General features: G+C 53.4%; 1 protein-coding gene across 8 annotated transcripts in view, besides 1 other annotated feature; it reads right to left on the bottom strand.

The window, feature by feature from the left end:
* The window catches only part of INPP5A (inositol polyphosphate-5-phosphatase A), a 245,694-nt gene that overhangs the window by 70,824 nt on the left and 154,785 nt on the right, over window positions 1–20,085 (bottom strand). For all 8 annotated transcript variants that reach the window (XR_001747104.2, XR_945735.2, XR_007061963.1 and 5 more), the window contains 3 exons: window positions 14,738–14,841; window positions 4,292–4,344; window positions 2,201–2,320 (listed from right to left, as the gene is read on the bottom strand). Coding sequence is in view for 4 of the 8 variants with exons in the window: in NM_005539.5 (NP_005530.3) it covers window positions 2,201–2,320; window positions 4,292–4,344; window positions 14,738–14,841 (277 nt within the window). In the remaining 4 variants the exon portion in view is untranslated. The remainder of the gene's footprint in view (window positions 1–2,200; window positions 2,321–4,291; window positions 4,345–14,737; window positions 14,842–20,085) is intronic.
* Window positions 2,408–2,908: an enhancer, noted in NCBI's record as "H3K4me1 hESC enhancer chr10:134523253-134523753 (GRCh37/hg19 assembly coordinates)". NCBI's record gives its function as "activates a minimal SCP1, AML or CMV promoter by ChIP-STARR-seq in primed H9 embryonic stem cells {active_cell/tissue: H9 hESC(primed)}" and the evidence as "EXISTENCE:reporter gene assay evidence [ECO:0000049][PMID:30033119]".

Raw genomic sequence — 20,085 nt, 5'->3', positions numbered from 1 at the left:
CACTCACATGCACCCACACATGCATATACCCACACACACATGCACCCACACACCCGCGCACACATACACCCGCACTCACATGCAGCCACACAAGTGCACTCACATGTGTCCACGTGTGCACACACAATGCAACCCCCACACCCCTGCAAGTGTGCACACACCCAAATAGACATGTACCCACACACATCCACACCACACATGCACCCACACACACCCACACACGCGTGCACACACATATGTATGCACTCGTGCACCCACACATGCACACACAAGCATCCACACACATGCACACACGAACACACACACGCAGATGTGCGCACACCCACCCCCACACAAACCCCACAAGCAACTGTGCATACACTCACATGCATGTGCATGTGTGCACACACACAATTACATACATAATTGCATGCACACAAGGTGTGCACACTCAGGCATGCACACACGCACAGGCACACACATGCACACTGAACACTATCCTTACAAGGCACTATTAGGAGGCAGGGACCTGCTGGCTGCTGTTCTCCTTCATAACCCCACCTGCCTTAGGGACCCCTCAGGACGTGGGTCTTGGGTAGAAATGTGCTCCACACAGTCCCCAGGGGTGCCTCTCATAGGACTCTCCCACTCCTGCTCTTGAGCATCTGACGGCGCTGGTCACATACCACACATGACTCTGGGGCAGGGGCCCCACCCACGGACCCCTCCACATGGACTGCTCCTCCCACTGTCTTCCCCAGGAAGCCTCCCAGAGGCTCAGAGGGTACCAGGCCCTGCCCAGCCTCCTCCCTCTCTGGGTCCAGACCTCAGTGCCTGCCAATCCCTGCCTCTGCCTGTGCAGCCCCAGGCAGTTGTGACTGCCCCAGGGACAGTGGTGGCCTGGGAATGACTCAGTTATTCTGCTCTGCACAAGTCCAGGCTAAGACAGGTGTGGGTGGGAGAGAACCGGCCCCGGGAACAGAAGGTCGGCGTCTGAGGATGCCAGCTGCTGGAAGGTGGGCGAGGCGCAGGGCAGCTCCAGGCCCTCGCACGCTTAGTCGGGAGTGTAACTCCGCATTCTGCACGCACGGGGGCTGGGCGGGGGCTCAGGTCAGGGGCCCTCTAGGGAGCAGAATGGGGTTCAGGTGGAAATCAGGGACCACCCCAGGGCAGAACTGCTGGTCTCAGGCCTGTGTTCATCACTGCTGCAAGCCCAAGCTGACGGAGCACTGTCTTGTCAACCACAGGGATGCTGGCGGGAAAGGTTTCCATGACAGGCCTAACTGGAATGGGCAGAGAATAAACCCAGACTGCCTGGCTGTGGGGCCTGAGCTTCAGCAAAAGGCCCAGCTGTAGATGGGGAGGGACACGGGCCCCAAGATCAGACACATCCCACCAATGGGGGTCCCCTGCTTCCCAGTGACAGCCCGTCATCTCCACAGTATCACCGGTGGAGCAGCCCGGAGCACTGGGGGGCAGGGGCCCAGGCGCAGGTGGAGGTGGCCCCCACGCTCCCACTGACTCTTCAGTGTCCTATTCACCTCCCACCACAGCACCCCATGGCACCGTTTTCTTATCTTTCCCACAAAAAAGTCAGAGAGAAAGTGAAGCCATCCCCATCCAAGTCCATTGTGAGGGTGCAGCTCCAGCCTTTGCCAGGGCTTGGGGGCTCTGCCACCTCCATGGGGCAACTCCAGTAAGGCCCATCGGCAAATCAGCAAGCGCAGAGCAGAGTGTGCCTCCCAGAGCAGGCACAGCCTTTCCCAGTGGCCAACAGGGTGAGTGGACACACCGACCTGCCCACCCACCTACCCGCCCGCCCACACCTACCTCTCCACCCATACCTATACCTGCCCAGCACACCTACCTCTCCACCCATACCTATACCTGCCCAGCACACCTACCTCTCCACTCACACCTACCTGCCCAGCACACCTACCTCTCCACTCACACCTACCTGCCCAGCACACCTACCTGCCATCCACACCTACCTCTCCATCCACACCGACCTGTCCACTCACACCTACCTGCCCAGCACACCTACCTGCCATCCATACCTACCTCTCCATCCACACTGACCTGTCCACCCCACCTACCTGTCCACCCACACCGACCTGCCCAGCATACCTACTTGTCCGCCCACACCTACCTCTCCACTCACACCTGCCTGCCCAGCACACCTACTTGCCCGGCCCACGCCTACCTGCCCGCCCACACCTACCTGTCCAGCACGTAGCCCAGTGCCTTGTGCCGGATTCCCGAGTACACGGAAGGGCTTGTTTCCCAGGCGACCAGATTGGAAGCATCATGGAAAAGATGGATATTCACCAAGTCAAAGGCACTGCAACCAAAAGAGAAAAGGACACGTCACCAAGGGCCGGAGCCTCCGGGTCACACTTCGTTCTCCCAAGGAGTCCCCGGGAAGATAAGACCTGCACTGGCCTCCGCCGTGCGGAGCCACCCGAGGCGGGGCACCTGTCCACCCACCTGTCTTCCGACAAGGCCAGAGGTCAGGAAACCTCCAGTGAAGTCTGAATATGTCTTTACAAATGCAGTTACTCTGGGCAACTAAAAAGTGAGCTACTTTTCTTTAAAGAGAAAAACTTACAGGTGACTATGGAAACTCTCCCTGATGGCTAAGCTAAGAGGAAGGGCCACCCCTCAGCCTCAGCTGATGCTGCTCAGGGCTGCCGGCTGCACCCATCGGGGACCCTGTAAGGCAGGGTTGGGGGCACAGGGACAGGCAAGAAGAGTGCTTCATTTCACTCCCAAAGGGAAGACCCTTGGGAAGCCCCGTGGGCCGGCTGTGGGCCTGCAGGCACATGGACTCGGCAAGGCCTGATCAAGGCCTGAGCCTCTGTCACACTGCAGGGGACCCTCAGCACCTTCAGCTGGCAAGGACGTGCCCTCTCACCAGGGGAGGTCAGTGCAGGGCTTGGCACAGTCTGGACACTGTCCCACAAAGCCCTCACTGCCTGCGTGTCCTCCACAGGCTCCAAGACCTGGCCGTCTCCCTACCAGGAGGCGCCAGGAATGAGTGCGTGCAGGCGGTCTTGCCCTCCTCCAGCCTGTGGCCCAGCTGCCACAATGACCCCGATGACGCTGCCTGGTGAACGTGCCCCATGTGCCCCCACACCATGCCAAGGCTGTTCCCTGTGACCAACAGCAAAGGGCAGCCTGCAGCCTGCACTGCCTGGGGTGGGCACGGGACCGCGGCTCCTTCTCAGCTCCCTCTGTCCTCCCCCTCCCTCTTCTTCCTCTTTCTCTCCCCCTCCTTCCTCCCTCCTCCTCTCTTCCCCCTCCCCATTCTCCTCTCCTACCCTTCTCTCTCACTCTTCCCCCACCTCCTTCTTTTCCCCCTCCCCCTCCTTCCCCCATCCCCTCCTCCTCCCCCTCCTCCCCCCTCCCTCCCTCCATCCCCCTCACTTTCTGGACTCTTGCTCCTCCTGGGGATGTCCTGCCCTGAGCAGCCCCAGGGAGAGGCCCGAGGGGGAGGGGCAGAAACCCCTGCCCACAGCCCCAGTGAGCTCGGAGATGAGTCCTCTGGAAGCCCCAAGGTGACCAGGGCCAGAGCCCCAGAAAAGCCACTCCTGGGTCCTGAGACACTCACAGCTATGACCTCGTATGTGTTTTTAAAGCTGCTAAGTTTAGGGCGGTCTGTTACATGGCAGCAGATAATCAAGCAGCCAAGTTTTGGAAAATCCATGAAAAGAAAATGAAAACAGTATTCAAATGAGATGTGATGGCTGGAGGGACACGTTGGGGAGCCACCTGGAAGCCACCTTAGGAAAGCAGATAACAGGTTTCTGTTTCTTATGATGCAGAAAAGGTGGGGCGGCGCTATCGAGAACATGTTCACTGCAGAAAGGCCAGGCCAGAGGATATGTGGATGAGACGCAGGCTCCGCTACGTCTGTGCTCAGTCTGCTGATGGACCAGGCTGCCAGGCAGCGCTTACGCCGTCTCACTGGGCAGCCACAGGGCCCCAGTACTAGGGGGCCTCCCTGCTGACTTCTCTGTGCAGCGGGCTCTGGCCAGCGGAACTCTCCAGCTGCGGGGAGGGACTGGGGCCGTCACTGTGTCTCCATTGGCACTGGGCACCCAGATGTCTGACTTACAGGGAACAGTGACAATGCTCCGAATGCATCGCCGTGAACCAAAAGGGTCAGAGTGGCAGGTGGGGGTCAGGCAGCTGGGGGTCCTCATGCAAAATCAGTAGAGCCTCCAATGAGGTGTGTGGAACATGCCGCTGGTGCAAGATATAAAAGGGTAAGAAACGTTATGGAAATTGACAAAGCACAGACACCACGTACCAGTCTGCAATGCACCACCTCGTCCGGATGAAGCCTTTTCTTGACCATTTGCACTGAAAAATAAACACGTCACACAAATGAGCCAGAGTAAGTGAGCAAGAGCAACACGTGGGTCCCACACACCTAAAGGACACAGGAGATGCTTTCCAAACAAAAAACAGCAGGGCTCTTCCGGCACTGATGCCGCCCCACTAAAGAGAACCGAGCTGTGCACCTATCCTCAAGTGGGGCTTCGCACAGAGATGCCTGCAGGGGCTGCTGATGCCCAGCCTGGGGTGGGGTGGGGGGAAGATATGAAGAAACGTGCCAGCCTGCCGCCTGTGAGCCCCATGCCCCCATGTGAGAGCAGCTGCAGGGAAACCACTGTCACCACAGATGCTGATCAGGGAGCTCGAGACACACGGCCGCCCTCGGCTGGACCACAGGGAAGACTTGAGCAGCCGTGCCCAGCCAGGCGTCCTGGACAGTGGGTGACCTGCCCACCCCAACAGTGTGTGTGGTCTCTCACTGATCCCCACCACCCACCGATGCCTCTCACCCACCGATGCCGTTCACCCACCGATGCCTCTCACCCACCGATGCCTCTCACTGATCCCCACCACCTAGCAGAGCCACCGAACGTAGAGCCTGAGCTCTGGTCTAAAAGTACCCCCAAAATTCAAGTGAAACAGTCAACAGCATGAGATTCCAAAGAGGGGTGTTCTTTAAGAGGTGGCAGGGCTCCCCTCGAGATGGCATGGAGGCCCTCCTGCCCTCCCACCTCCCACCATGGTAGGTTCCTCTGCTGGGCCACCCAGTACAGCAGTGGCCAGCCACCGGGGCCACCGAGCGTGCAAAGTGTATGACTGAAGAACTGAATTTTAGATTCCATTTTATCTTCATTAATTTTAATTTAAACAGCCATGCAGAACAGGGTAGCTTCACAGCCTAGGCCTCTTGGGAAACCCTTGAAAACCACAGAAGGCACTGGGAAGAGGCTGACAGAGTCAAGTCCAAGGTCCACAAAGCAAAGCGCTTCAGGCAGTGGCGGGGGAACGGCAGCCAACAGGGCAGGGCACCGCCCATTCCGTTCCCAGCAGCAGCCATATGCCTGGCGCCATCGGGGGCGGAGGTGGACAGGGGCTGCTGTTCTTGGTGCTCATGGGCTGGCAGAGAAGGAAAGCAGGACAGGGAAGACCCTGTCTCCTCCACCACACCCTAAGGTCTGCTGAGGAGATGAAAGCAGATGGGAATCTGGAGTTAACTGTGGACGAAACACCCGTGAAGAAAGGGTCCAGCGTGGCGTGCTCCCTCTATCTAACACGGAGAGCGCAGTGATCAGAGGCTCTCCCTTTGACCCCACCTTGCCACTGGCCACCGTCCCCTTTGGCTCCTCCAGTATGCGCACGTGCCAGACAACAGCTGCCCAAATGCTCTCTGCAAGGTCACCACAGCCTCCACAGGCAAACTCCTACAGACACTCGCCCTTCATCTCGCCTGGCCTGTTGGCGGCACCTGGCAGCACAGTGGCTCCTGCAGCCCTGTCTCCTTCTCCTGGTCCCCATCCAGCACAGTGGCCCCTGCAGCCCCGTCTCCTTCTCCCTGTCTCCCTCCAGGACAGTGGCCCCCACAGCTCCCTCCTGGGCAAGGCTCTAGGGCTGTGGATTCCCAGGCATGAGGCCCTTCTTTGCCTGCCCCCACCACAAGTGCTCCCTGCCCCCTCCCTAAGTGCTCCCACTCATGCTCAAGAAGGGAAATTCCAAGCCCCACACACTGGTGGGGGTGATGCTGAAGCCAGCCAACCCTTCCCGTACACACTGCATTCTTCCCCTGCACTCTGGATCCACCACTGCTGTAAGAAGCACCCCGGCACACGAACTGTGAATCCTCTGAATGTATGTTTTCCTCTCTCTGGCTGTTTTAAAGTTTTTCTCTTTGTCATCAATATTCTGAAGCTTCACTGCCATCCAGGTATGGGTTTATTTTTATATATCCTGCTCTGTATCCAAATTGTGCTCGGGAATTAAATTTTTAAGAATTTCCCCTTATCACTTCCAACACTGCTCCACTGCTTCTTTCTGGAATTTATTTTGAGTTTATTTGAGCCTCTTAATAGTCTTTATGTCTTTTAACTGCTCCTTTCTATAAAAATAAAAAACATACAAACAACCAAACAAACACAAATCTTTGTCCGTCTTGACTATGTTTAGATGAACTCCTTAATGACATTGTCTAATTCTCTGATTCTCTCTTTGACCACATCTAGTCTAGAATCTGTTCTGTAATTTCTAATGCAGAATGTTTAATGTTTCTACAGGCTCCTCTTCATATTCCCTTTTCTTGTTTTATTTCTGTTTTAGTTGAATAACATTTTTAATGAACCCTATCTTTCACTTATCTCTTTGAGCAATTTAAACATACTTAAAGTCTGTCAGCTTTTCCCAAGAAATCAACTTTATTTGGGGTGAGTCTGTATTCTGGTGTCTGCTCGTCTCATAGACGTTCTTGGTTTGCAGTCTCCTGGGGAGTGAGAGGCGCCCCCTCCTCACCTGTGCAGTTCCATGGCCACCCCACCCAGCATTGTAAAAGGTCTGGGCTCTCTGCTCCCCAGTGATACTGAGGCACCCACAGACGCACCCTCAGGGTCCACAGGTGGCTCCAAGCTTCCTCCTTCCAGGGCTGGTCCTTCTTCCCTCACCTGTAAAGTCCCGGGCCCCAGGTAAGCAGACTTTTAAAGAAGTAATAGGCTTTATTTTTCAGAGCAGCTTTAGGCTTCCAGAAGAATTGAGCATAAGGTACAGAGACTTCCTGTACACTCCTCCCGGCCTGGCCACGCACTTGGACGCCAGGCTATGGCTCTACTCGTCGAGGAGGATCCGTCCTCACACCACGAGCTGGCTCTGGTACTGAGCCCACATCCCCTGCTGTGCTCAGGCTGCCCTGCTTGCCAAACAACATGGGCTGTGCCAAAGCTCCAGGAGGCTGGCCAAGGCATCCCCAGGCTACTGGTCTGGCTGCTGCATGGGGCCATGCCCAGACGACCCAGGGAGCTCTATGGCGGGGTGGCGGGGTGGCAGGCTCCCTGCGTGCTGCACCAGACACTTGTCTCTGATTCCAAACATGTCCGCCTCCTCTCTCGGGGAGGCCATTTGCCCCGGGGAGCCTCTGTGTTCATTTCCTGTCGGTAACTGTGTCTGCAATGGAAACACATCAGTGGGAAGCTGAGCTGTGGGGAGAAGTGGGTGCTGCTGATGCCCCACAGCGGGCTCCATGCTCCCACCAACGGTGCAGCTGGGACACCCCCAATGCTTGGACTCTCTCCCCTCCACTCAGCCTGCACTCCAGACGAGCCGCCTGCCACCTGTCCAGACGCCCTTCCTCCATCCTCCACACTCCAGAGGAGCTGCCTGCCGCCTGTCCAGACGCCCTTCCTCCATCCTCCACACTCCAGAGGAGCTGCCTGCCGCCTGTCCAGACGCCCTTCCTCCATCCTCCACACTCCAGAGGAGCTGCCTGCTGCCTGTCCAGACGCCCTTCCTCCATCCTCCACACTCCAGAGGAGCTGCCTGCCGCCTGTCCAGACGCCCTTCCTCCATCCTCCACACTCCAGAGGAGCTGCCTGCTGCCTGACTAGACGCCCTTCCTCCATCTCCCACACGTCCAAATCCAGCCTGCACTTTCCGGGGAGACGGCCCACCTGGAACAGCCACTGCCCCCCCACGGCCCAGCCACGCACAGGATCCACACCAGCAGCACCCAGGGCCTCAAGGCAGTGGGTAAGACAGGACTGCCAGGCTGCCAGGTTCAAGTCCCAGCTGTGGGGCCTCGGGTACAAGGAGGGGAGGACAGAGCCCATGTTGCCGGCGGGCTGCGAGGGGTGGCTCTGCGCACCAGCAGCCGCCGCGGGCTGGCGTCCAACACACAGGCACACACCCAACCCTCGGGCCGACCAGAAAGGGAAACTGAGGCTCACAGGTTAAGAACTGCACCTATGGTCCCTTGGTGGCTTTAGGCCACAGTCACTGGGCCCAAGGCTGGGTTCTCACCCATGGGGGCTGTCATGGGAGAAGGCTGGACGTGTGACTGGTGACAAATCTACAGTAACTGGGTGAGGCCCCTCTACTAGTGACAGTGGGAGGCAGGCGTCTTTCCAGGAGAAAAGGTACCGTCCCTGCAGGCCAAGGCGCCTCAATACACGACTCCCCTAGAGCACCAGCAGCTCATCTTCCGTGCCTCGACACCTCCTGTCTGGGGGGACTGGGGGGCCTGACATGCTTTGGGAACCAGATGCTGCAGCAGAGATCAGGCCAAGCCTTCAGAACCCATGCGGGTGAAGCTGCGTGTGTGTGGGGGTGAAGCCACGCGTGTGTGGGGGGGTGAAGCCGTGCGTGTGTGTGTGGGTGAAGCTTGCGTGTGTGTGGCATGTGTGTGTGAAGCCGCGTGTGTGTGGGGGTGAAGCTTGCGTGTGTGTGTGGGGGTGAAGCCACGTGTGTGTGTGGGGGGTGAAGCCGTGCGTGTGTGTGTGGGTGAAGCTTGTGTGTGTGGGGGGGGGTGAAGCCACGTGTGTGTGTGGGAGTGAAGCCAAGCGTGTGTGTGGGGGTGAAGCTGTGTGTGTGTGTGGGGGGGGTGAAGCCGTACGTGTATGTGTGTGCAGGTGAAGCCGTGAGTGTGTGGGGGGGGTGAAGCCGCATGTGTCTGCGGGGGTGAAGCTGCACGTGTGTGTGTGTGGGGGTGTGCGGGGATGAAGGTGCGCGTGTGTTGGGGGGCAGAAGCTGTGCGTGTGTGTGTGAAGCCATGTGTGTGCAGGGGTGAAGCCACGTGTGTGTGTGGGTGAAGCCACGTGTGTGTATGGGTAAATGTGAGTGTGTGTGTGTGTGTGTGGGTGAAGACACTGTGTGGGGGGTGAAGCCACGTGTGTCTGTGGGTGAAGCATGTGTGTGGGGGTGAAGCTGTGTGTATGTGGGGGGGTGAAGCCGCTTGTGTGTGAAGATGGCCGAGGGCCAGTTCCCCAGAAACCAACTCCATCAGGGGCCTGCGGCTGGCGGGTGAGAAACCTGCGGTCAACATGGATGGGAAGACAGGCACCGCGGGCACAGGGTTGTGCAGGAGGCACGTATGACAACGACCGCAAGAGCCCAGATCCATGTCCTCGCCAGCTGATGACAATCACAAGAGCCCGGATCTGTCCTCGCTGATGCAATCACCAAGCGACCGGGACAGGTGTCTTGCCTGCACCAAGTCACAGGGGTGACCGCAGGGGAAGCTGGCCTTGTGAGACAGTCAGGACCAGCTCCTCTGGGAGAAACGGTGAGTCCGAAGGGTGGGGGGCACCCAACGGGAGGGAGGGGAGTCCCAACCCCGGTGTGTGGGCTCGGCAGGGAGCCTGGAGGCCGCTCCTAACCAGCACCGGCAGGGCGCCCTCTGCCAGCTCCCACGTCCAGACTCGCGGTAGTGCCCCTGCCACTCCCCCAAGCCCACAGTCACCCCTGTGTAAACAAGTGCCCCGGCCCACCCCAAGCATCCCACAGCCCACTTCCTGGGTGCAGGCGCTGTCCACATCCTCTGCTAGGACAGCCCATGGGTCTCAGTCCTGCTGGATGGGGCCAGAGCCCCAGAGCACACTGTGGAACGAGAGAGCAGAGGTGCTCCGTGGCATGTGGAGGCAAGCGCTTCCCATGTGCGTCAGAGCTGTGCCCGGGCACTGCCTCTCCTGCTTCCAGGCAGGCAGTAGGGCCCGGGACACAGGGACACAGCACCTCCCTGCACGCACGCCTCTGAATTCTGACAGGTACAGCAGAGACCCCAAACTGAGCATGCCCAGGTTTTTACCTAGAATTTGCGATAACCGTCAACAGTTTTACTTCCATTAAAAATGGAAGGCATTTGTAAATTTTTGAACCAAAATTAATTATTCTTCTCCTGAGTTTTCGATTATTTGTGTTAAGGTGTGTGTTTGTGTGTCTTGAATCTATGTGCATGTGGGTACATCTTGGTTTTTTAAATTTTTAAGTTTTCCACAGTAATGGAGAATTTTTTCCAACATTAATTATCCATAGACTGAATAAATAAAACGAGAAACAATGTTATTTTTGAATAATATAAATTGGTAATAACTGTAGTTTTAGGATTCTAAGATTTTTAAATAAATTGCAAATGAATCTCAGAAAATTTAACAGTATATTATCATAACCAACTATTTTCTAAAGTATTTGTAGAAAATAAGTTCCTTTTGAGGTAAGCTCGTCAGAGCAGCTACCACTGCACTAAGACTATGTTTCGAGGGATTTTACAGCAGGAACAAATGAAGCCACAGCCCACAGTGTCCTGACACTTCCACGGCCCGTGGCTGCAGGTGCGGTCGCATCCTTGGGTTTAGGGTGGGATGCGCGGTGCAGGGAGAGTCCTCACAGAGGGCGTCCCATGCACCCTTCGGTGGCCCCACCAGCACTCAGGACAGGTACCACCCTCATTTCCCCAGCGAGGAAACTGGGGCCTGAAGACCTCCAGCTCTTTGGAGAAAGAACCAGAACGGGAACCACCGCCCCAATTCCTGCACTGAAGTCCCCGCCTCCCGACGCCCCACTCCCCTTGCTGGCCAAGCCCCAAGCAGGCAGCCAGGGCTGGGGTGGGGTGGGGTGGCCCAAGAGGAAGGAGGTCCCCAGAGTCATCAGCAGGTTCAGGGGCCCCTCCCAGAGGCCACGCCCCCACGGGCGCACCTGAGCACCCCAGCCTGAGGTGGATGCACCCCACACCCAACACTGTCCTCCAGAGCAGGGCCGGGAAGTGCTGGGAGGCAGAGACGGGCGTCCTGGGGCCTCAGCCAACGCTCACATGCTCAGGACTCAGGAAGACCCCAGAAGCTTCTGGATGTACATACTTGTTGCTCCAGCCACGGCAAATGGAGGCAGAGGGTGTATGGCCAGGGCTGGGGGTCTCCTCCATCCCAGGCTGTGTGCGGGAACTTTCTGGTCACCGGCCACCTTCGAAGCCCTCACTTGGGGAGCCCTCAGGAGCCTGCAGATGGGACGGCCGTGGCTCCGCTCTCCCGAGGTGGCCGCCCCCTGGCCTGTGTTGGCTCCTCTACTCCCAGAGAGGTTTTCACCTCAGAAATGACACCCACATCCCGTGGGGGTGGGGGTACATCCTTCACCTGATGATATGAAGTCTCTCTCAGGCCCCTGTTAATAGGGTTCCTTCAGCAGGCAGATGGATAGCGAATCCAGCCGGTTTCATCTACTAAAAGACGGCATAAATCGCCACGGAGAAAAGAGAGGCTGCGGGGAGGTTATTGCCACACAACCCTCACGCCGAAGGCCCGCTCAGAGCATTAGTGGAATTAATTCATCCTTCATGAGAGCTTGCAGCCGGCCCTGTGATCTATGGTAGCAACCAATTTCTCACTACGGGCAAAAGGAAAAAAATGACTCACCCTGATCGACTACACAAATCTGCGTTTTAAAAATGGCCTCACATTATCTGGAGTGTGGCTCCCAGAGGCATCATTTGAAATTCATACCAAGCCAAAAGCATCCATAAATCAGCAGAGAAAGTTTTGTTAGTTTCTGCTGCGGCTGTAATTATCTGAGACTGCATTATACCCCCATCAAGGTAATTACATTTAGATTACCCTTAAGTGATGGTAATAAAAGAAAGAGAAATCAGTCTGAAACTAGTTCCTTCCTCCAAAATGTGTTCAAACACAGCGAGAGGTCGGGTGCAGAGGCACAGAGGGAGGGGCGGGCCCGGCCAGGCTGCCAGGCCGGGACTCCCATGGCTCCCCGGGCCCCTCCCTCCTCCTTCCTCCCTCCAGCAAGGACACAGGGTGCCACATAGGCTCTGTGGGGTTAAAAACCCACACTAGGGACAGAATGTTAGAAGCTTACAGTTTTTAAAATAAGGGTTTCCTTTTGTTAATTTACCAGGGAAGAGGAAACGTCAGAAAACCTTTGCAGATCATCAAACACACGGGTCCCGGGAGGATTTCTAAGACGATGACGTGGCAGGGCTGGCCCTGACCCACAGGGAGGCCTCGGCCCAGGGCAGGGGCTGGCCCCCCGTCCCAGCCACCAGCAGCCACAAGGATCTGCTGAGCAGCTGACCACCAGGCCGCAGACAGCGACACGCTGCTTTCCCAGGGGAGAGACGGGTCCACACAAAGAGGCTCGGTGCCTTTTCCTCCCAGGAATCGTCTACTTTCCAGAATGTGCCTTCTCCTCTGCCTGTGGACACAACACTGCACAACACTGGGGTTGGACCCAGGCTGGGGGCTGGGGTTTCTATACAAACCGGGCCTGAGGCTGCTCTTCCTGGGGGAGGGGCGGCCCCTCGTGCTATGCCCTCCACAGACCCATGCCAGCAGGCCCCCAGCATCACAGAGGCCTCAGAGTACTGGCATTAGGGACCAAGGCCAGGGGCCACACTCAGACCCCTGCCAGGGCACCCACCCTTCAAAGGGTGGCAAAGTCATAGCAGAGGCCCCCAGATCTTGCCCAACTTCAGTCTGGGCCCCGGGCCTCAGCTCCCCGCTTGCTGGGTCCAAAAGAGAAGCCTGAGGCATGGGTGCAAGAAGGAGGTCCCGCTGGCCAGAGTGGCAGGGCTGCTTCGGGGCGGGGCTGAGAGACGGAGGGGTCAGGAGCCTGTGTGGCTGCCTGGGAGGACCCTAGAGTGTCTGTTCCTTGCTGAGGGCCCGCTGCCCCCGAGCTTCCCACCCTGGCTGACCCTGCGGGCCCTGGCCTCTCAGGACACACCTCGGCCCCCACCCCCAAGAGCTATGGGGCTCCCTATGGGCTCTCCTACCCCATCCGGAGTGGACAGGACCCAGTGAATAAGTGGACACCTGGTGGGGAGGGGACAGCCCAGCAGCACCTGGTCCGGCCACGGCCCTGGACAGCAATGCAGCCACATGGGTCCTGAGACGAGGTGCCGGGTCAACAGCCTCTGCCTGGACCAGCCCAGCCACCCACAGCTGCTCTCCTCATGCCATCAGGTGGCAGCGCCTGGCCCTGCCCAGCCCAGCCCCCCCCCACCCCAGCACCCACGCTTCCCACAAAGGGCCCTGAGTCGGTCTCTGGTCACTCTGAGATGAGAGCCTTGCCCGGGTTCAAGAGAGGCCAGAGTTCAGCTCGCAGGCTCTCCAGGGGAACCACAGCCCCCACCCTGCCCTTCCGACGGGCCTGCACCACAGCCCCCGCCCTGCCCTTCCGATGGGCCTGCACCACAGGTGGCCCCTTCAGGGAGGCTGTCATGACCCAGGGACGCAACTACTGTGCGTGGAGAAGACCATGGAGCTTTCTTGCATGTCCTTTCCAACTGCTGGACATCCGGAGCGGAGGGAGGCAAACGGGCGGTGCCGGAAGCAGGACCGAGGACAGGAGGCTGGCCCACTGACACGGCGTCCTTGGCCTTGGGAAGACGGATGAGGAGGCCGAGCCACAGGGTGACAGGAGCACCCCATCCTTCACGGGCGGCCACAGTCCCTCACTCAAGGTGCGGGCCATAAAGCAAGTTAATAAAGTTGTGGCCTTGCTGGAAGTCAGCTCCGTAGCAGCCTCAGCCTGCACAGCTCTCGTGGAGACAGGACCGCAGAGCAATCCTTCTTGGGGCTGCCTGCGCAGACAAGTCCGGACGAGAGCTCCTATATCACAGCCTGGACGCCCCCAAACCTGCGTCCAGCTGCCAGCTCTTCCGTCTCAGTGCCTGGGCTGCTTCTGGCCACAGTGCCTGCACCCCACTGTGATTCAGCAGATGAGGAAGGGCAAAGCAGCAAACGCTGCCTCGACAGGTTAACTACACAGCCAGGGAGACGCCGACAATGCCGCGTGTGAGGTTTACCCAAAGATCACGTGCACAGAGCAACAGCCGCGCACACAGCTCAGCAAAGTGCATGGCCGCCAGAAGGAAACACCAATTTCTCATCAACACCGTGTCTGGCAGTGAGACGACAAATGCCTTCCACACATTTTGATTCTAATCTCTCCGTGTGACGCAGGCATAACTGCCGGGACCCTGCTGCTCGCAGCCTGGCACAACCACCAAGGCTGTATCTGACACAGGACCGTGCCCCTGCCCCACACTCACACCACGGGCACACAGGACTGTCAGCCACTGTCTTGGTTACCACCAGTCAGCCTGACCCTCTCCCAGCTGGGCGTGCGGGAGACCCCAGGTGCACGCCAAGGGAGCTGAATGATTTTCCTACATCTTTTGGCGAAGGTTCTTTCTCCTGGATATGAGGATTCAGGAACTTACTGATTACTTGGTGCTAATGCCTTAGATTCTCACTGCCCTTACGTGTGACAGCCCAGACCAACCACAGAAGCCTGGACTCCCAGGAAGACAGATTATCGGAGGTAACAACAGGCAGCTGTGACTAGTAACAGTGCAATGCGAAAATTCCGTGTTCCATGTCACTTCTGACTGGCTCACTCTGAGAAGTAAACACGTCAGTGAGAAAGCCTCGCTACGTACCTCGGGGAAGTAGTCCTGCGGAAACTTCTCCTTCTCCAGCATGGGCGTGCTCTCTAAGGTATCCGAGTAGATCTCTTTGCCAGCGACCTTTCTATACTTCTTAGCTGGAAGAGACCAGAAGGACGAGGTGACTATCCCATCACTGTGCCCCATCCAACCAGCCTGGAGCACAACCTGTTTCCACCCGACTTCAGCCCGATGGGAGCCAGAGAGGCCCCCCGAGAGGAGGCCCTGATGAGGGGTCCGACCCAGAACAGACCCCCAGCGGGCCGGCTACTCCATGCCTGTGGCTCATAAATTCCCCTCCCATGACCTGGAATCTGACACTCCACTCCATTATCGCCTGAGAGCTCCCAGACTGCAGATTTACAGGAGCTAATTGGCATCCTCTTTTAAACCCGTGAATATATTTAAGAGGGCTGTAGAATTACCATTCACTCAGACCTTCACATGAATTTATTTAATAACATCGATTTCCTCCCCGTATCCAGCCTCCATCACTCATATTCCAGGGAAGAGGTTTATGTGTGATGGTGAGAGAGGCAGCGCGCGGCAGGGTGCCTCCCAGATGGGCTTTGCCAGTGGCTGCTTGGCACCTTTCCTGGACCCCCCAGTGGATAGGCCAGGCCCAGGGACACAGGCCTCGCCATGGGCAGGGCCCGTCTCACTATTGTTCACAACCAGGCCTCAGCCTTTCTTTTTATGGACAGGTAGCTCCACACCCAAGGTGGGGTGTGATCAAGGATGGCAGGGATCCATTCCTCAAACTCCTGCTGGGTCCAGTGGGCAGGTGGCTGCTGGCCTCTTTGCAAGATGCCACAGGATGGCTCCTGGGCCACTGAGGTGACACTCCTGGGTGTCAACGAGGTTCCTGGAGACCGCTTTGGAGCAGTGTGTTGTGTCCCACAAGCAGCTCCAACCTGCAGTTTCTGGGGTATTATCCACCCCACTATGGCAGGAGGAACAGAGGGGGCAACCTGAGGACCACAGCACCATGGGCCAAGGTACTGGGTCACCACTGGGGTGGGCAGGAGTTTCAGGAAAAAACAGAGTGCTGTGGTCTGGCCCAGCCCTGGGTGCTGTGGTGTGGCCCGGCCCTGGGTGCTGTGGTCTGACCTGGCCCTGGGTGCTGTGACCCGGCCCAGCCCTAGGCGCACAGTCCTGGATGTGGGTGCCTCATGGACAGGAGACAGCATGAGATGTTTCAGCGACTTATGGAGCATGGACAGAACGTGAAATAGAGGCCATTCCCTAAACTCGGAGCTTAGACACCACGGATCCTTTCACTGTCTCCACAGTTCTGCCTTTTCCAGAGTGTCACAGAGTTGGAATCACAGTGTGTAGCCTTTTCAGGTTGGCTTCTTTCATTGGTAGCAGGTGTGTCAGCCTCCTCTGTGTCTTCTCGCAGCTTCAAAGCTCATTTCTTTTTATCACCAAATAACACCCCGTGGAGCTGACATGCCACAGTCTGCTTGGCCCATTCACCCACAAGGCAGAACAGCAAGTCTTGAAGTCAGGAAGTGCAGGCTCTGACTCTGCTCTTCTTCTTCAAAACTCTGGGCTATTCTGGGTATTTTGCTTTCCACATAACCTTTACAGTCAGTTTGTCAATGGCATGACACACCTTGCTGGGGTTGTGTTGAATCTATAGCTGAAGTTGGGAAGAGCTGAGCCCTTGACAGTATTGGGTTTTCCCATCTGCCTTAGTCCACTGGGCAGCTATAGCAAAATAGACTGGGTGGTTTGTAAACAAAGTAAGTGTCTTTCTCCTAGTTTGGAGGGATGGGAAGTCCAAGATCAGGGTGCTAGGAGATGAGGTTCCTCACAGATAGTGCCTTGTGTGTGTCCTCATGCATGGAAGGGGCAAATGAACTCCCAGCCTCTTTCATGAGGGCTCCGATCCCATTCGTGAGGGCTCTGACCTCACATTCTAATCAGCCTCCCAAGGCCCCGCCTCTTAACACCATCACCTTAGGGGTTAGGAGGTCAGCAGATGAATTTGGGGGTGGGGGGCACCTACTTTCCAACCATAGAACTATCCATGAAGATGAAATCTCTCTCCATTTATCTAGATCTTCCTTATTTCATCAGAGTTTTATAGTTTTCCTCACAGAGATCTTGTATTAATTTGTTAGATTTATTCCTAAGTACTTCCTTTTGGTGTGTGCTTAAGCAAATGGTATTATGTTTTTAATTTAAAATTCCACCTGTTCATTGCTGCTACACAGGAAAGCAATTGATTTCTGTATCTTAACTAGGCATCCTGCAATGTTGCTATAATTGCTTACTGGTACCAGGTTTGTCTGTTATTGTTGCTGACTCTTTGAGATTCTTGACATAATCATATCATCTGAGAACAGAAATAGTTCTATCTCCCATCACCCCATCAACATGGCTTTTATTTCCTTTTCTTGTCTTATTACATTATCTAAGATTTTCAGTAAGATGTTGAAGAGAAGTAGGAGAGGAGGCATCCTTGCCTTGTTCCTGATCTCATAGGAAAAGCATCTAATTTCTCATTAAGTGTGGTATTCATTGTAGGATTTTTGGAGCTCTTCTTTATCAGGTTGAGGAACTTCCCCTCTATTCCTAGTTTGCTGGGAGTTTTTTTTCAAACAATGAAGAGATGTGGATTTTGGGAAATGCTTTTTCTGCATCTATCCTATGATCATGTGATTTTCCTTCTTTTGCCTGCTGCTGTGATGGATTACATTAATTGATTTTTAAATGCTGAACCAGCCTCTATACCAGGAGTAAATCTCGGTTGGTCATAGTATATAACTGACTCTTGAGAATTTTGTTGAGCATTTTTGTTTACAGTTCATAGTTTTCCTTCTTTGTAATGTCTTTATCTGGTTTTAGTATTAGGGTAATGCTGGCCTCATAGAATGATTTAGGACGTTTGTCCTCTGCTTATATTTTCTGGAAAAGATTGTAGAGAACTGGTATAACGTCTTCCTTAAATGCTTGATAGAATTCACCAGTGAAACCATTTGGTCTGATGCTTTCTTTTTCAGCAGGTTATTAATTACTTATTCAGTGTTGTTAATAGCTATAGACCTGTTCAGATTCTCTAGTTTTCCTTTTATGAGTTTTCATAGATTGTGTCTTTCAAGGAATTGGCCCATCTAAGTTATTACATTTATAGGCAGAAATTAATGATATTCTTTTATTATCCTTTAAATGTCCACAGGATCGGCAGTAATGGCCCCTCTCTAATTTCTGATATTAATAATCTGTGTCTTCTCTCTCTTTTTCTTAGTCTGGCTAGAGGTTTATCGATTTTATTGATCGCTTTAAAGAATCAGCTTTTGGTTTTGCTAATTTTCTCTATTCATTTCCTGTTTTCAATTCTGTTGCTTTCTGTTCCAATTTTCATTATTTCTTTTCTTCTGCTTACTTTGGAATTTTCTTTTCTTCTCCTAGCTTCCTAAGGTAGAAGCTTAGATAATTGATTTTAGCTCTTTCTTCCTTTCTTCTTAGCACTTTTTTCTTTTTAGCTCTTTCTTATATGCATTTGATGCTATAAATTTACCTCTAAACATTACTTTTGCTAATATCCCATGAATGTTAAGCTGTATTTACGTTTTCATTTGGTTCAAAATATTTTTAAATTTCTCTTGAGACTTCTTTGACTCATATGTTATTTAGATATGTGTTGTTTAATGTTCAAGTATTTGGGGATTTTCCAGCTACTTTTCTGGTGCTGATTTCTGGTTTAATTCCATTGTAATCTATGAGCATGCTGTATATGGTTTCTGTTCTTTTAAATTTGTAAAGGTGTGTTTTATGGCCCAGAATGTGATGTCTCAGTGAATGTTCCAGGCGAGCTTGACAAAAACGTAGATTCTGCTGTTACTGGATGAGGTATCCTATAAGTGTCAATTAGATCAATTTGTTTGATGGTGCTGTTGAGTTAAACTATGTCTTTCCTGATTTTATGCTTGCCAGATCTGTTCATTCCTGATACAGGGTGTTGAAGTCTCTAACTATGATAGTGGGTTCATCTGTTTCTCTTGGCAGCTCTACTTGGTTTGCCTTGTGTATTTGACACTCTGTTGTTAGGCAGCTAGATACTAAGGATTGTTATGTATTCTTGGAGATCTGATCTTTTCATCATGATGTAATGTCCCTCTTTACTGCTGAAAACTTTCCTAGCTCTGAAGTCTGCTCTGCCTATTCTGATAATTTCTGACATGAATAATTTGTGTCATTTTTTTTCTTAGTCTGGCTAGAGGTTTATCCATTTTATTGTTTTTTTCAAACAACCAGCTTTTGGTTTAATTTACTTTTCTTCTAGTTTCCTAAGGTACAAGCTTAGATAATTGATTTCAGATCTTTCTGCTTTTCTAATATATGTATTTGATGCTATAAATTAATATAGCTCCTCCAGCTTTCTTTTGGCCCATTTAAGTTTTCCTTTGATTCATGTTAGAACACTATACCTTCCTCCATCCCTTATCTATTAATCTTTAGGTGTTTATATAAATGGGTTTCTAGAAGACAACATATAGTTGGGTATTTTTTTTAATCCACTCTGACAGTCTCTGTCCTTTAATTGGTATATTTAGACCATTCACATTTAAAGGGATCGTTGATATAGTTGGAGTAATATTTACCATATTTGTAAGTTTTCTATTTGTTGCCTTTGTTCTTTGTATCTTTGGGGTCTCCCATTCTTTATCTGCCTTCTCTGGCTTTTACTGGGCATTTTATATGATTCCATTATCTCTCCTCTCTTAACACATCAATTATACTTCTTTTAAAAAGCTTTTTAGTGGTTGCCATAGTTTGCAATATAATGTATAACTAATCCATGTCCACTTTTAAATAATACTATATTCCTTAAAACGATAGTACAGGTTTCTTATAACAGAGTACCCCAAATTCCTCCCTCCTGTCCTTATGACTTTTCTGTTATTCATTCCACTTATCCATAAGCTGCAGTTAACCAATACATGGTTGCTGTTGTTACGTTGAGCAAAAGTTATCTGCTAGACCAATTAAGGGTAAGAAAAATATATTTCATTTTACCTTCACTTATTCCCTCTCTAATGCTTTTTCTTTCTTTAGGTAAACCAGAGTTTCTGGGCTATATGATATTTCCTTCCGTTGAAGAGCTTCTTTTAGCATTTCTTGCAAGGCAGGTCTACTGGCAACAAATTACTTCAATTTTTGCTTATCTGACAAAGTCAATTTCCTTCACTTTTGAAGAATAATCTTTTTCTGAATATGATATTCTTCTTCTTATAATGCTTTAAATGTTTCACACTACTCTCTTCCTTCTTGCATGGTTCCTGGGAAAAGGTCCAATGTAATTGTTATCCTTGTTCCTTTACAGATAAGGA

The sequence above is a fragment of the Homo sapiens genome, chromosome 10, assembly GCF_000001405.40.
Source record: "Homo sapiens chromosome 10, GRCh38.p14 Primary Assembly".
Taxonomy (NCBI): Eukaryota; Metazoa; Chordata; class Mammalia; order Primates; family Hominidae; genus Homo; species Homo sapiens.
This window is presented reverse-complemented; position numbering and strand designations above follow the sequence as displayed.